The 15,993-nt window shown below is 39.6% G+C and overlaps 1 protein-coding gene across 3 annotated transcripts in view, besides 2 other annotated features; it reads left to right on the forward strand.

The window, feature by feature from the left end:
- MXD1 (MAX dimerization protein 1) overlaps positions 1 to 15,993 on the forward strand; it is a 27,837-nt gene continuing 11,844 nt past the window's right edge. For 2 of the 3 annotated variants that reach the window (NM_002357.4, NM_001202513.2), the window contains exons 1-3: positions 1 to 295; positions 1,013 to 1,112; positions 6,628 to 6,657. In NM_002357.4, coding sequence (NP_002348.1) covers positions 223 to 295; positions 1,013 to 1,112; positions 6,628 to 6,657 — 203 coding nt within the window. In that variant the 5' untranslated portion in view covers positions 1 to 222. The remainder of the gene's footprint in view (positions 296 to 1,012; positions 1,113 to 6,627; positions 6,658 to 15,993) is intronic. The other variant, NM_001202514.2, reaches the window with a different exon arrangement.
- Positions 375 to 604: a silencer, noted in NCBI's record as "silent region_11602". NCBI's record gives its function as "represses an Ori minimal core promoter by ATAC-STARR-seq in GM12878 lymphoblastoid cells {active_cell/tissue: GM12878}" and the evidence as "EXISTENCE:reporter gene assay evidence [ECO:0000049][PMID:35858748]".
- Positions 12,029 to 12,323: an enhancer, noted in NCBI's record as "tiled region #10436; K562 Activating non-DNase unmatched - State 17:Gen3'". NCBI's record gives its function as "activates a minimal TATA promoter and a strong SV40 promoter by Sharpr-MPRA in K562 cells {active_cell/tissue: K562}" and the evidence as "EXISTENCE:reporter gene assay evidence [ECO:0000049][PMID:27701403]".

The raw sequence follows: 15,993 nt of genomic DNA on the forward strand, positions 1-15,993 counted from the left end.
GCTCTGCTCCGGGTTCTGTCACTGTGTCGGCGGTGCCCAGCTCACTGGCCCCCTCCCTCTCTTGTCGAGCGTGGTTGCCAGAGAGGCTCCCTCAGCCCTGCTCCGCGGGGTCCACAGCGGGCTCCACAGCGGGCTCCATAGCGGGCTCCACAGCGGTCCGGCGGCGGCAGCGAGCCCGTGGGCAGTGGGGGTTGGTCCCGTGGCTCCGGCCCCCGGTGCAGAATGGCGGCGGCGGTTCGGATGAACATCCAGATGCTGCTGGAGGCGGCCGACTATCTGGAGCGGCGGGAGAGAGGTGCACGGGGACGGGGAGGGGTCCACTCGAAACGAGGCCGGGGGTCCTGTGGGGCCGGCCTCAGGTCCGGGCGCCCAGCCGCTCCGGGGGTGGTTGGAGGCGGGGAGACCGCGAGCGCTCCCAACCCCTCTGGCTCTCCCCACGCGCGGTCCGAAGGGAAGCCGCCGCTGCCCCAAAGCAATGAATGGGGTGGAGAAGGGGCTGCCGCCCGCCGGGGTCCCGAACGCCGCCCCTTCCCCAGCCCTTCACGAGTGGGTGGCCGGGGCCCCCTCCGATAGCCTCCCTGGTTTACCTCACCCGGGCTGGTCCCGGCCGGCCCCCAGGTGGGCCCGGCGCCCCAGTCTCCTGGGCAGAGGAGCAGCGCCTCCCGGTCCCCGGCTCACGGTGCTTGCCCCGCACCTTCGCCTGAGCTGGTTCCACTTAACCCGCACCAACCTGCTGGATGTAGCCAGTGGGAAACCCAGGCTGCGTGAGCCTAGCCACTACTGTGTCTTTCTCAACAATGAGCAGCTGGAATCCTCCTTACACCTGCTCCGAATTGACGATATTCACACAATTTTTTTTTAAATCATTGTTCTCAGAATTCCACCTTACTCCATTTAATTATTTCCACAATATTCTTTTAAAGATAAATAAAGGAAAAAGGAAATACTGTAGAGAGGAGAGAGCATTAAATATTCTGGGCCCATTCATTAACTGGATCCTCCTGTTTTCTAGAAGCTGAACATGGTTATGCCTCCATGTTACCATACAATAACAAGGACAGAGATGCCTTAAAACGGAGGAACAAATCCAAAAAGAATAACAGCAGTAGCAGGTAATTTGGTAAATACTTCTTTCTGTCTTTTAGATTATATTGTAGGTGACACAAACTGCTGAATGTAAGTTTTCTGTTGTGATTATAACCCTATAAAATTACATTGTGGCCGTCATGATTCAGTAATGTACACATGGACTTAAGCCATTGCAGGAAGCTGTTTCTGTTTGGGTTGAGGGAACTGAAAAGAAAAATAGAAATGTTTTACATTTCTTTATGAACTTTATTCAAAATTTAATTTCACTTTTCTTCCCTTTTGGAACAAAAAAATCTGTGGAAGCTTCAAGTGAGATTAGCAATGGTGACAGTATTTTCCCTTCAGAAGTTGCAGATTCAGGGCAAGTTTTCTATAAGTCAAAATGCTGGACATTATCCATTTCTTTTACTTTTCATAGTAATGATTTTATAAACACATTAAAGTACCTGACTTGGCATAAGTGATAGGATCTCATACTTGACATGTAAATTAAATACAGTGGTTTGTTTGATACTCTAATTTGTCATCTCTATTTGTAATGGCAAAGAGGAATGATTGAGGTTAAAACCTACCTCTTTAGTGATAGAGGAATATATAATACCAAAATATTAATATGCTACAACTTTTCCATGTTAGCCTTATCGATTATCTTATACCGTAGTTCTTAAAAGCTGTGAATCTCACTGGAGATTTGGTTCATGGTCAGTTAAATCACATATTAAAGTCCTATGCATAGTTTCTGGTACATGCAAATAGTCCATCAATGTTGCTGCCCGTTTCCCCCCTTCTTTGCCCTTAAAATATAGTTGGCTAGGAAATTTGTTCTATTAGATCCCTTCAACTATACCTTTCCTGCCAGTAAATTAAAAGCATTGACCTTTTCGTCACTAGTTTAGAATCCTTATCCCTCCCTCACCCTCATGAATAACTCCTTGCAAGTATCTATTTGGATATCCTCTGTGGCTTAATACAGACCAGGAATTTCCCACTTAAACCTAAAAATCACTTGTTCTTGCTGCGTCTTCTGTACTTGGTTTACCTCTTTAGTATCGTTAGTGGAACCACAGGATGTGAGCAGCATTACTTGTGCCATGCCCTTGAATAAAAATGGCACTTGAAGGATCAACCTGGTAATTACCTGGTAGGTTTTGCTTGTCCTCCCACCTTAGCATTACCTGAAGGTGGTAGCCAGTAGTTTTGTGCATGGGTATGAAGGCACTTTAAGAAAGATGTTAATACTGACTTGTAATATGCAATGGTGTAAAACCAATTAAGCTGTGTTGCATTTTGTTACAATATTTTTTTAATTTTGTTTAGAAGAATTTTGAGGCCTTTCAGTTAATTTTTCTGGAAAAGCATCATCCATTTTTGCTTTTATTATTGTCCACTAATGATTTGAGAGGAATTGTCCAAGTTACTTATTGAGGCTTAATACCTTAACACTTTGTTTTTTTCCTTAGTTTCACAGGAAGGTTGTAGGGGATGTTCACTAGTGGGGATAAGAAAATGAGATGTTGAAGTGGCTTGGTCCCAAAAGGTGATTAGGAAAGAAAAATAATAGTAGTTAAGAATCTTAAGCCAAGAAATGGATTCTTTCTAGTATCTTCTCTTTAATAATCAGTACTATGCCAAAAAAAAAAAAATAAAGGCTACAAATCCTTCTGTTAATGGGTTGGTTTGCTTTCCATGGTTAGAGACGGGATTATCACAGTTGTCCATACACCTGACTGATAGTGAGTTAGTGTAATATATTCAGTGGTGTAAGGATTTCTGAGAGACCATGATTAAACCTAGAGGTAGCACCAGCCAAACGTGTGAGGCAAGAGCAGGCAGTTTTCTTTCAGTGTGATCATTTCCTTCATGACTCATTTGGAATAGCTCCTTTTCTGAGGAACAAGCAATCATAATGGAGAAAGCAGCTTGACCCCATGGTTTGAATCGGCTTTATATCCTCAGCCATGTATGGTCAGAATTTTGAACTGAGGTAAAGGATAGGGAGAGATTACTGCTGGTTTACATAACCCTTGGATAACAGTTTATTCTTGTTCTTACAGGTTGAAATGCTGTGCTTTTTGCTTGTAGAGTCTAGGGAAGTACTTTTCCTTGGACAATAAAAGATAAGATTTTGCCACATAGGAAACTTCTTGGGAACTGAAAATGCAGATCTTATTCACGTTTCTCTAGTTGCTTATTAAAACAACAAAAATGAAAATGAAATTGTGAATATCAATTGTTTTTGAAATTATCCATAGAACTGCTGGAATATGGGAAGATGGAAGTTTCTTTCCTACTGATTTTTGAAGTCAATTACTAATTATTTAGAATTGAAATCTAGAACTTCTTAAAAGTGTGTTTTGTTCAATGAGTAAAGCAAGCTTTGGCACTCACGTGAAAGAGGAAGTTCAGGACTTGCCACCCAGTTGTTTTATAAGACAGTGGCTAGAGTGACCTGACATGAGGAGTGTTTTTGAACCCAAGAATTTTTCCTGGTTATCTCAGATACGCCGTAATTTGGCTTAGTTTTTTTTTATTAGAGTGTATTTTTAAATGGTGAAATTTGACCTTTATCAGTGATTCCAGAGTTATCCATTGTTTTCCATAATCACATGGAAAATAGTTTTGACACAAGGTATCAGTGTGTTCTTACAGTGCTTTAATTAAAAACGTAAATGTTTACCCATCAATGGAGGTGGCTGGCAGTCTCGGAACTGATCATTTTTGAAAGGGCTGCTTTTTATTAATAACTCAGTTTCAGTAAACTAGATGCACTTCAGTAATGCTCTAGCCATTAAGTACAAGTCCCCCTTTAAAAAGCACCATGTGTTTAACACTCGAGTAATCAAATAAAATCTGTAGTTTTAAAAATTTTGTTCAAATTTTGGAAGAAGTTGTGCTTCCTATGGAGTTTGTTTAAAAGTTTATTTTGGGGATTCAGAATTTTGCATAAGTATATAACTCTATTTATTAGTTTATATATTTTCAAAGAATCCAGAAATATTTTGGTAAGAATTTCCTGTGTGCTGTTATTTTCTACTCTCTTCTCAACCTATTCACTTTCCTCTCCTCCACCTACAAGGGGTGGTCCTTGTCTACAGTTAAAGAGGGTAATCTCAACCAACTGTTGGCATATACTTTCATCCATTTTATTTTATTTATTTATTTATTTTTAGACAGTCTCGCTCTGTTGCCTAAGCTAGAATGCAGTGGCACCATCTCGACTTACTACAACCTCTACCTCCTGGGTTCAAGTGATTCTCCTGCCTCAGCCTCCCGAGTAGCTGGGATTACAGGCGTATGTGACCATGCCTGGCTAATTTTTGTATTTTTAGTAAAGACGGGGTTTCGCCAGGTTAGCCAGGCTGGTCTCGAACTCCTGACCTCAAGTGATCCACCCACCTCAGCCTCCCAAAGTGCTGGGATCCCACTATGCCCATCTACTTTCATCCATTTAAAAAAATCTGTCAGGCTTTGAACTTACTAGTCCCGGTTAAAGTTAAAATGCCACGTGCTTTAGAGCCAAAGGTTTGCAGTATATGCCAGATTCTTGTTAACTATAGTATCCTGTTGGCCATTGAAGGCAATAAACCTTCAGAACAATGTGACTGGAGAATGCTGAGGGATAACCAAGTGAATCAGTGTAAAGCTTTTATTTCTTTTTAATTGAGATGGGCTCTTGCTGTGTTGCCCACACTGGTCTCCAACTCCTGAGCTCAAGCAATTCTCCTGCCTCAGCCTCCCAAAGTGCTGAGATTACAGGTCTGAGCCACCATGCCTGACCATTTTAAAGTTTTGTTTTGTTTTGTTTTGTTTTGTTTTGTTTTGTTTTGTTTTTGAGATGGAGTCTCCCTCTGTCGCTAGGCTGGAGTGCAGTGGCACGATCTCAGCTCACTGCAACCTCCAACTCCCTCGTTCAAGGGAGTAGCTGGGATTACAGGCACGCGCCACCACGCCCGGCTAATTTTTGTATTTTAGTAGAGACAGGGTTTCACCATGTTGGCCAGGATGGTCTCAATTTCCTGACCTCATGATCCGCCTGCCTCGGCCTCCCAAAGTGTTGGGCTTACAGATGTGAACCACTGCGCCTAGCCTGAAACTTTTAAGTTAACCAATTTTGGATTGGTTTGAATACATGAGGTCCATATATTGTTTACCTAGAAAACAAATATTCTAAACTTAAAATACTGTCATTTTCTCATTTATTTTTTCTTCGTGAATAAAAATTGATTCCTAAGATCCCTGTGAAAGAGAAGTTTAATGCTAGGTTGGAAATTTCTCATTTCAAGACAACCTCCTCACTTCCGCTGCCATCCCCCCACATTCACTCTCCTTACCCCCATTCTCTGATGAGTGAACTTGATGTTGGTGCCCCTGATGTAAATGAGTGGCTGAGCACTCTTGAGGTGGTATTCCTCCATGATTGCTGTGAGAATTTATTTCCTAAGCCCAGTAAGGTGCTGATTATGGCCCCACAGAATTCATGAGCTGAACCAGGGAGTAAACTCCTGAGCTGGTTAAATTCTAGAGAATTTTCATAGAAAGGTCAAGCAAGATTCAGCTCCTTTATAATACTGGTAGCTTCTTCCAAATTTATAACTGGTTAGGAAGGGGTTGTGTGAGGAGGACACTAAAGGGGCCACATTGACTTCTTATGACTTTATGGTAACTTGTCCATAAAGTCTTAGGCCAGACCTTGTCTTTAAGGTCAGCCATAAATACACTAATCATATGGTTTCATATCCATCACACCTTTCATCCAAGGCTCTCTAATCAGTTTTACAGCTGTTACCTCATTGGTCCATACTTGTTCAGTAAATAATTCGTAATTATTTTTATTCTCATTTTATAGACAGGTTAACCAGTAACAGGATGGTAAAGAATTTTATTCATTCCACAGTATATCAGTGGCAAAGCTGGACTTCACATTTCACTAACTTCTGCTTTAAGCAACCTATCATCTTTATATTGAGCTGAACTTTGGAAACCCCTTCCTAAAATCATTTGGTTGCTATTTAACAGTAGCATCTTGTACATGATAGTTACTTCAGGGAGTCAGAAGTTTGGGGAAGGGGGTTATTTTACTATTTAAAACAATATAGTCAAGCAACTTTACACAAAATTTTGGTGTATGCTACCCCTAGGGAAAACTGCAGGGGTGGGGTAGGGGTGCTACCTCCCCTGTTCTACCCTTAGCCTACAGAAAGCTTTGTCGTATTATATAACGCAAATTCACATTGCATCGTGCAGCTGTTTTTGTATAAATAGACCCCTTTTATTTCTTGTCTTAAAATGGATTATTTTTCCACTAGAGAAGGCATGCTTCTTGGTTTGTCGCTTTACCTTGAACTCTATTTTAGGATTTACATTTATCTAACTCTTCAAATGGACTAATTTTTTTAGTAGAGCCCAGTGAATTTTTCTGCCTTTCTACATCTCTCCTATCAACTTTGGAGAGAAAGAAGTTAAAAGAATTGTGTTGGTGTTGAAGTAGTTCTTTAAGACAAAAATATCTTATTCTTCTCTTATTGTTCCCTCTTTCAGATCAACTCACAATGAAATGGAGAAGAATAGGTGAGTTGGGGATTTGGGAGGTGGAATGCGGGGAGCTTTGTTGCATTCTCTGTTCATGCAGTTCAAACTTGGTTGCTCTTTTTGACTCTTCCCACTAGTAGCACCTGATTTCAGAATTCACCCAGCGCCCTCTAAGCAGCATCGCTCATAAATTACTTAGGTAGATGTAGAGCTTGCCAGTTAAAAGACCACACCCCTAACCCTCACCCGCACCAGCCCACTCCTGAAGAAGGCCTTTGAATGACTATTCCACAGACCAAAGCATTTTAGTCAGAGGCAACATTTCCACAAATAGTGTTTTTAAAAAAATTACATGCTACTGAATATCATTGGCAGTGTTATCTAAAATACATATACACAGATATATATACACATAATATACATGTAAGTATATATTAACACATGTGTATTAACGTGTATGTATGTGTATTTGCAGTTTACTTGTGAATGAAGAGTCTCAAAATTCAGGCAAATGTATGCATGGCAGAAATTGGAGATGGTGCCTAACTAGAGGAGGACTGCCACCCTCACTGGGCTCCATCTTGCCGCAGCCTGAGTGGAATCTCTCTCACCTGGATTGCCTCTTGCTGCTTACTTAAATCTTTATTTTCCAAATCAAGTTGCCCCTCCTTCAGTGAGGCAGCCGAGTGGTTTTCAACTCTGGTTGCACATTAGAATCACTTGCAAAGCTTTCTGTGTATTTTTAAACATATTTTTATATTAAATACATTATACACATACACTTGTATATTTTTCTGGTGAGGGTAGAGAACAAAGGTTTATTTCTGCTGATTCTATAAAATAACTTTTTATTATAGAAAATTTCAAATCTGGCCAGGTACAGTGGCTCATACCTGTAATCCCAGCACTTTGGGAGGCCAAAGTGGGTGGATCACCTGAGGTCAGGAGTTCGAGACCAGCCTGGCCAACATGGCAAAACCCTGTTTCAACTAATAATACAAAAATTAGCCAGGTGTGGTGGCACGTGCCTGTAATCCCAGCTACTTGGGAGGCTGAGGCAGGAGAATCGCTTGAACCCTAGAGGCGGAGGTTGCGGTGAGCCGAGATCCCGCCACTGCACTCCGGCTTGGGCAACAGAGTGAGACTCCGTCTCAAAAAAAAAAAAAAAAAGTAGAGTGACTAATGTAATCAACTCCTATGTATCCATTACCCAGCTTCAGTAATTATCAACATTTTGCCAGTCTTCTGTAAGCAAAACCACCTATTCCCATGAAGTATTTTAAAGCAAATTTTCTTGTATCTCTAGTAAACACCAAAAAAAAAAAAAAACACACAAAACACCCAAAACAACAACAAAAAAAAAACCACTTGCTTTTACCATACTGAAAAAAATTAATGATAACTTTTTGTGGAGCTTTTAAAAGCCAACAAACAAACAAACAAAATAATGCCCAGACCTTACCCTTAGCAATTCTGATTTAATTGGTTTGGGTTGAGGCTCTGCACTCGTATGTTTCAAAAGCTCCCCAGGTGATTCTCATGTGCAGCCATGGCGGAGAACCATTGAACTAGCCTCATTCTGGTCTCTGAGCTCCCATCAATTTGAAATGCGGGCTACCCATCCAAATTGAGTGCTTTCTCAGTGCCCTGCATGAACAAGAAAAGGATGTGTAATGATGGCTCTATAAAGACATGTGGTTATTTCCTGCCAACCCTCTTTGAAAAAGGAGCCTGACTCTGAAAGTCAGGATCTGAATGATATTTATGTTTAATCAGTGAAAGGGCAGACTAAACCCTTCCCAGGCAGGTAGAATCTGGGAAGAGGGCGGTTAGCTTTACTCCACTATGGAATTTCGTGTGTGTGTGTGTGTGTGTGATGCTGAGTGTGCCTCACTGCATATATGCTTCTGCTCATCCCATCGTCTTCCCTTTTAATTGTTCTATGATTGTGACTGACCATGTTTTAAGTTGGAGCTTCCTTTATGCTTTAGCTATTTACATATCATGAACTAGAAACTCAAAAGTATCTCTTCTTAAAGGGGAAAGGTAGTCAGTTGTGGCTTCTCTTTCTCATTTTTAGATTTTCTCTTCAGATTCTCTCCCTTCTTCCTGCCTTTGCAGTGATGTGGGTAAACCGGGACTATTTCTGCTGAAAAGTCTTCTAGTTCTTCGCCCCTCTAATACTTTAGTTTGGTATTTATTTTTATTATTATTAAAATTTGATCGCTTCACATAAAGACTTACTAAAACTTTGTGACTTTTGCCTCTGCAGGAATGCCACAGAATGTCAATTGTATTATTTATTATAGCACCTCAGGGATGTTTATTTTCTGTCTATGGTGGCCCCAGAACTTGTACATGTTACTGGGTATTAAATGCGTTCATAGTAGGGTATTAAATCAGCAAGGTCCCCATCCCAGAAAAATGTGCAGTTTGTCCAATGGGAAAGATGCAGAGACAGTTTCAGTTAATATACTAAGTGCTAAGATTGGGATGTGCACAAGAAGCTAGAGGTAAAAATTCTGGAAAACTGAACGTGAAGTCACCACTAGGCAAGCTGCCTGTAATTGAGCTTGCTTGTATATGACCAATCAACCTTTGCTTGTTGAAGGATTAGTTATCTAGTTTCCTTCTTTTCTTTTTTGGAATTTGGTCTTTTAAGGTCTTGATAATCTTTCTAGTCTAGAGCATGTGAACAGAACAGAAGGAAAATCAGGACTCAGTTTACTTAATTTAAGCAAGCATTGGTTGCTGCAGTTCAGGGGAGGTTAAAGTTGCTGGGCTCCACTCTCTTATTAGCATGGATGCTTAAGAACTTCAGGGTTTGGAGGTCAGCTGAACAGCTGTTTTTGTACTCTCCCTGGTTTTAGTAGCTGAGTTCTATAAAAGAATACCACTCGGGTAAATGCTAATATACTTTAGCCATTTTTTACCTGATAACATTGCATAAAAAGATTATCATGGCTTTCATTGCTTCTTGGCCTTTTGGCTAAAATCAAGTGTAAAAAGATTGCCATGGCTCTCAAAAAAAAAAGGAAGAAGAAGAAAAGACAACTTAGGAAAAGAACTTCTAACAGTGGGATTTTCCCTTTTCTTGATATTGCAGAGTTGATTATACTTGGGTTAGTTTTCTTGAATGGAAACCTTTTCTATGGCACTTTAGAGATTGTAAATAATTAGTGTTACTCTATGTTATCAGGACTCCACTGTAAGGATATTATACCCAACACCAACACTTTGAAGTATCTTCGCATTGGTGGGACAATAAAAGAAAAGACTTCTAGAATGGTGGTGGTGGTAGTATTTTCTACTCAACAGAATAGGTGTTGAGCACCTAAGATGCCGTGTAGTAGGTGCTGGGACTACAGAATCCAGTAAAGACTACGCACTGCTGTGGAGGAGCTCAGATTAATATCACTCTACAGGGGGTTTGTCAGTCAGCACATGGCCTGTGTTTCTCTGCATTTTAGCTAATTTTCTGGGTCTGATCTCCTAAGAAAACACCCTTGGGAGGGTGGGGTATGTGTGTGTGTGTGTGTGTGGTTTTTCTTTTCTTTTTTTAAACTAATCTTGCAGAAAATTTTGAGAAATATAGAAAATAATACTAAAAATTTAAATTGTCCATAGTTCTAGCACTCAGAGAAAACCAATGGAACTTGAAAATATATCTTTCCAATTGTTTTGGAAAAGAACTGAAAATATAGTTTTGTGTAGAAAGTTAGAAAATTCAGAAAAGCACAAAGAATATAAAAATCACCTGTAATAGGCCTCTCAGAGGTAACACCTGCTAACATTTGTTCTATATCCATCTAGACTTTTGTGTGTACTTTTTTTTAACCAACATGGGATCATATAGTAATAATTTGTAGCATCTTTTCCAGTTATAAACATTTTCCAATGTCATTAAATCTCCTTTTTCAACATTACTTAATGCCCAGTATTATATTATATGAATATGTTAAACCTCATATAATCAGTCCCCTGGTTTAGATTCTTCCCAGAACCTAAACAATGCTTTCTTAAACCACCTGTAGAAAAATCTCTGTCCAACATCATAATTATTTCCTTAGGATAAATGTATAGCTATGGAATTGGTGGTGAACACGTTTTTAGGATTGCTGGATTGTCCACCAGGCAGGTTACAGGCATTATTTTCCCTGCACTTCACAAGTTGATGTTATAACTTAAAACCTTTATGAGTTTGATAAGTAAAAAATAAAAAAACACACAGGCAACTTGTTTTAATTTGCATTTCTCATACTACTAGCATAGTTGAACAATTTTTATGTCTTTGACTCTGTGTGTCTCTTTGTGTGAATTGTCTATTAAATAGCCTTTGCCCAATTTTCTACTAAAGAATTTATCTTTTTCTTTATTTTAAAAAGTTTCCATAATATAAAGGACATATATGAAAGATATTGACACTTTTTCTATCACATAACTGTCCAGTTTATCATTTAGCTATACAGAATCAGTCTTCCCTCACTGATTCAAGTTGCTACCTTTGGTGTATACTTATTTTTGTTTATGGCTAAGTCTCTTTCTAGACTTATTCTTCCAGTCCATTGATCCATCTCTTCTTCCTGTGCCAATATATACCCTTTCATTCTCCTTTTTTTTTTTCCATGCCCTTATCTATTTTCACCAGTTTATTTTTCCTGAAAAAAATTTTAATCTGTGAATTCCCCAACCCCTAAATTCTTTGGGGAGTTTAAAAATTGACATTGCATAATTCCAATATAAATTAACCTTTAAAAGTTCATGCTTATATATTAGATCTTTTCATCCAGGATTTGGTATGTGCCTTAATTTATTCAGATTTCTCTTCTGTCTCTAAGCAAAGTTTTGTAGCAAAGTTTTCCACACAGGTCTTATACATGTCCTGTAAAAGGTATTCCTGGATTTATATATTTTTAGATTGCTATTGGTTTCCCATCTTAGTTAACTAATTGATTATTGTTGGAATATAAACATATTTGAATCTTTTGTTGTTACATACCCTTTATTGATGATAATTCTGCTATTTCTTTCTCTTAACTGAGAATTCCTCCAATTTAAAACAAAGCCTTTCAATGAATCCCTCAGCAAATGGAGACTGAGCAAACACATATAAGCTACAGCCAATAGGTCAGGAGCCAGGTGGTAGAATAGACTCTTTTTTCAAAAGATGGCTCTGGCGTCTCCTTTAATAGTAGACATCCATTTTTCTGGAGTGGTACATATGCAGCTCTTGCTAGAATTAGGTGCCTGGTCTAGAGCTACTACCTCTGCCAGAGTCTTCTGACCCTGTGACAGAAGATTTCTGTGTGTGCTCCATGGGGAAGACTCTGCAGCCCAATCTAAGCTGTTATTTCCATTTGGTCAAACAGTATTTCAGTGGCATCTGGTCTGGCATGAGAAATCAATTCAGTCAGGTCTCTTCTGGAAGAATATTCTAATTGATTACAGGTCCCTATAGTTGTTCCTTTTGGGTTTTGATTTTTCAAATGACCAAGTCCCTTATATGGGAAGGGCTGGGGCCTGACTTTTGCACTGGGCCTGAGTTGTGGTATGCATTGCATCACTCTTATTGTTTCTGAACTTTCTTGACCACATTCAGATTTCACTCTGGGATGTTGTAACAAGTCCATGTTTGTTGCAACATGGGGTAAGGTTATTACGAAGGAGAGACACAGCGATCAGTGTATAAATCCAATCTATATTGATGGTCTGGAGAAGAACTCACATTTGTACCACAAGAATCATCTTCCTTGTACTATAACCCTTGAGTAGATGACACCTGCCTTTGGCAAGACTTGGAGGAGAGACACATGCTGGTCATTTGACCAATTTCCAGTCTCCTACCTGGGACCCTGGGGCTATTCCCTTACTTTTTGTCATAGGCATTAATAGTCAAATAGTGGGATAGAGCCAACAGGTATGATTATAATATATATGTTGTATTTGAAAATTAGGCTCTGAAAAGGAGATATTAATGTGGTGTACTTATGTATTTCATACTTTAATAATGAAGTGACCTTATCTCTCCAAAATGTAGCCACTGTTAACTGCTATTTATGTATTATTCACTGAGTATATTACTATCTTTGTATTTTCTACAAAGATTTATCAGCACAATTGTGAGAAATCTTCAAAACCTTTTAGGGTTCCAATTAAGTTGGTAATAATGATGCACTTGGCAATTGTTTATAAAGGGATCATTTTAGAAAAAGGAGGAAAGTATTTTTTCCCTCTTCAAAGTGTGACTTGTAGTCTTCACCTGGATTTTTTTTTTTTCTGTTTAACCCAGTAGGGCTTTGTTCTCAATGCAGAATCTCCTGTGACCCTTGACATTTTAAGGGATTAATTTTACAAGTCCCATTAATAAAACTTGTTCCTTCTTACTCTATACTAAATACCTTCTTTTCCTTATTATACAGCTCATACATACCCATATCTAAAATTATTTTTGTTCAAACTCCAATTATCTTATAGGATTTAAGATGCTATTTAATTGGGTAAGTCTGGCCCACACCAAGATAGGTGATAAAATGGTGAAACCTCAGAGTTAAACAGGCTACCCTGTTGAGGGTGATCTATTTGGAAAGGAAAAGAAGGTTATGATAGGCTGTGAAAACTTGGAAGGAAGTTAAGTCAGATGGGATGTTTGAGGGTGAGGGAAAAGAAAGAATATGTTTGGTAAGAGCAAAGGAGAGCCCATTCTATAACTTTAGGTGAGAGCTGATATCTATCAGGGTTTGAATATAGCTCCTACAAATCATTCTGCAATAATTCATCTACACGTTTGAGCACTCCAACTAAATTTTAATTACCTCAAAGGTAGGGACTTGATCTTACTCAATATTGTATCCCAAGACTTGCTGGGGGCACTGGCTCACAACTGTAATCCCAGCACTTTAGGAGGCCGAGGTGGGAGGATCAGTTGAGCCCAGGAATTCAAGACCAGCCTGGGCAACATAGTGAGACCCATCTGTACCAAAAAAAAAAAAAAAACCTGTAGTCCCACCTACTCAGGAGGCTGAGGTGGGAGGATTGATTGAGTCTGCGAAGTTGATGCTACAGTAAACTGTGATGGCACCACTACACTCCAGCCTGGTTGACAATGCAGACAAAAAAAGAAAGAAAATATAGCCTGGGACCTAAGAAAGCAGCAGAACATAACATAATAGTTCTCTCTCTTTTTTTGAGATGGAGTCTTGCTCTGTCACCCAGGCTGGAGTACAGTGGCACAATCTTGGCTCACTGCAACCTCTGCCTCCCAGGTTCAAGCGATTCTTGTGCCTCAACCTCCTGAGTAGCTGGGATTACAGATGTGTGCCACCGCACCTGGCTAATTTTTGTATTGTTAGTAGAGATGGGTTTCGCCATGTTGCCTAGGCTGGTCTCAAACTCCTGGCCTCAAGTGATCCACCCTCCTCGGCCTCCGAAAGTGCTGGGATTACAGGCGTGAGCCACTGCGCCCGGCCCAGCCTGTTACACTTTCAATAAAGAGAACTAATCACAGATAACAGTGCTTCCTTCAAACACACACACATACCCACACACCCTTCATTTGGTACCACTTCTGGTCTTGATTACATCCAAGTCAGGAAGAACTTTAAGGATAGTATATTTAATGCAGGAGGCACTATCTACAGATAGCACCATCTACCTAATAATCCTACTCTGTTGAATCTATTCCCCAATTTGCAGATCTACTAGCCTGAGAGAGATCCATAGATAGAATCAAGAAAGCATGGTCTGGAGGCAGAAATAAGAAGAGCTACAGTCAGAATTGTCTGAGTTAGCCCAGGTGCTTTCTATCAGTGCCAAAGCTCTGGTAGGAGCTGGTGCCTCAAACAGCTTGGCACCTTCTTCATTAATAACTTCCTTTACTTGGATATTTACTTTCCGTAATTCATGGCTGGCAAGAAGTTAAGGAAAACTAACAGCAGAAATACGTGGTATCTGAATATATTTTATATTTAAATCTTTAATCTGTTTGGAATTTATTTTGATGTTAACCTCCTCACTCTCTTGCCATTTTCTGAATAATCCATTCTTTCCCTAAGGATTTATGGTGTTATCTCCTTTATGTGCTAAATTCCTATCTATTCTTAGGTCTGTTTCTGGGGATTTCTATCCTATTCATTTGATTTGTCTGCCTATTCCTGTATTAGTACTACACTGTTTTTAATTATTGAAGCTTTATAATACAATTTAATATCTGGTACAGCACATTCCTCCTCATTATTCTTCTTATTCAAAAATTTTGGCAGTGTCACACACATCTATTCTTCTAGATGAAGTGTAGTCCCAGTGTTAAAAAGAACACTGTTGGGAGTTTTTTTCTTGGAATTGTGTTAAATTTGTAAACAAACTTGAGGAACATTGACATTTTTTGTTTGGAGGATTCATATCCAGGAATCTGCTATTTTTTTCATTTACTCAATTTTCTTGTGTCTTTCAACAAAGTTTTATAGTTTTCTTCCCATAGATCCTTCCCAACCTGTTTTAAATTTGCTCCTCAATATGTTATACTTTCTTCTTGCTATTGCACATGAGATATGTGAAGATCTCTGTGCTTGGACTTCCCAAGTCAATACATATTTGCCTCTATTTTTATTCTCCTTTGGCCATTGCAGTCGAGATCAAGGAGGGAGGCCCAGACTCTTCAGGACACTTGCTCCTGCAGCAAGCAGAAGTGAGGCAGCTGCCTCCCTCCCAACCTTGGAATCCTTTCTACCCCTGACTCTCAATGATGTGAACAGGAAATAAAGGAATCTTTTATTTTGCATTCATTGGCCTTATAAAACCCTTGCTAATTTTGTAAATGTAAAGAAATAGTACTTTTAGCATAAGCACTTTCTGTGTTTCCATAGAAAATGGATTAGATTTTCCATTAATTATTTTAATGACAAAAGATGTCCATTTTCTTCAAGGAAGTATTCAGAAAAGTGGATTTTGCCAGATAGCCTCTGTCTGCCTAGTGAGACATTTTTGAGTTCCCTATTGATTGTAAAAGGAATATCATAGTGCTCTTATTATCTGTGTTTGCTCACAGCAATTCTCCTTCTACAGAGGAAGCTAGGATTGAAAGAATAACTGCTACCATATACAGAGTACTCCCTGTCAGACCCTGACCCAAGGGCTTCCATACCTTGTCTCAGTCAATACCCATGACAGCCCTCCCAGGGAGGCGCTTGTCACCCTCATTCTACTGATGAGGAAACTGAGGCTACACAGAGTTAAGTAATTTGCCCAGGGTCACACAGGGAGTAAGTGGCAGAGCCAGGATCTCAAACATTTACTCTTTTTTAAATATTAACTTCATTTTTAATTTTTGTGGGTATGTAGTAGGTCTGTATATTTATGGGGTACATGAGGTGTTTGATA

This window comes from Homo sapiens, chromosome 2 (genome assembly GCF_000001405.40).
Source record: "Homo sapiens chromosome 2, GRCh38.p14 Primary Assembly".
NCBI classification, from domain to species: Eukaryota; Metazoa; Chordata; class Mammalia; order Primates; family Hominidae; genus Homo; species Homo sapiens.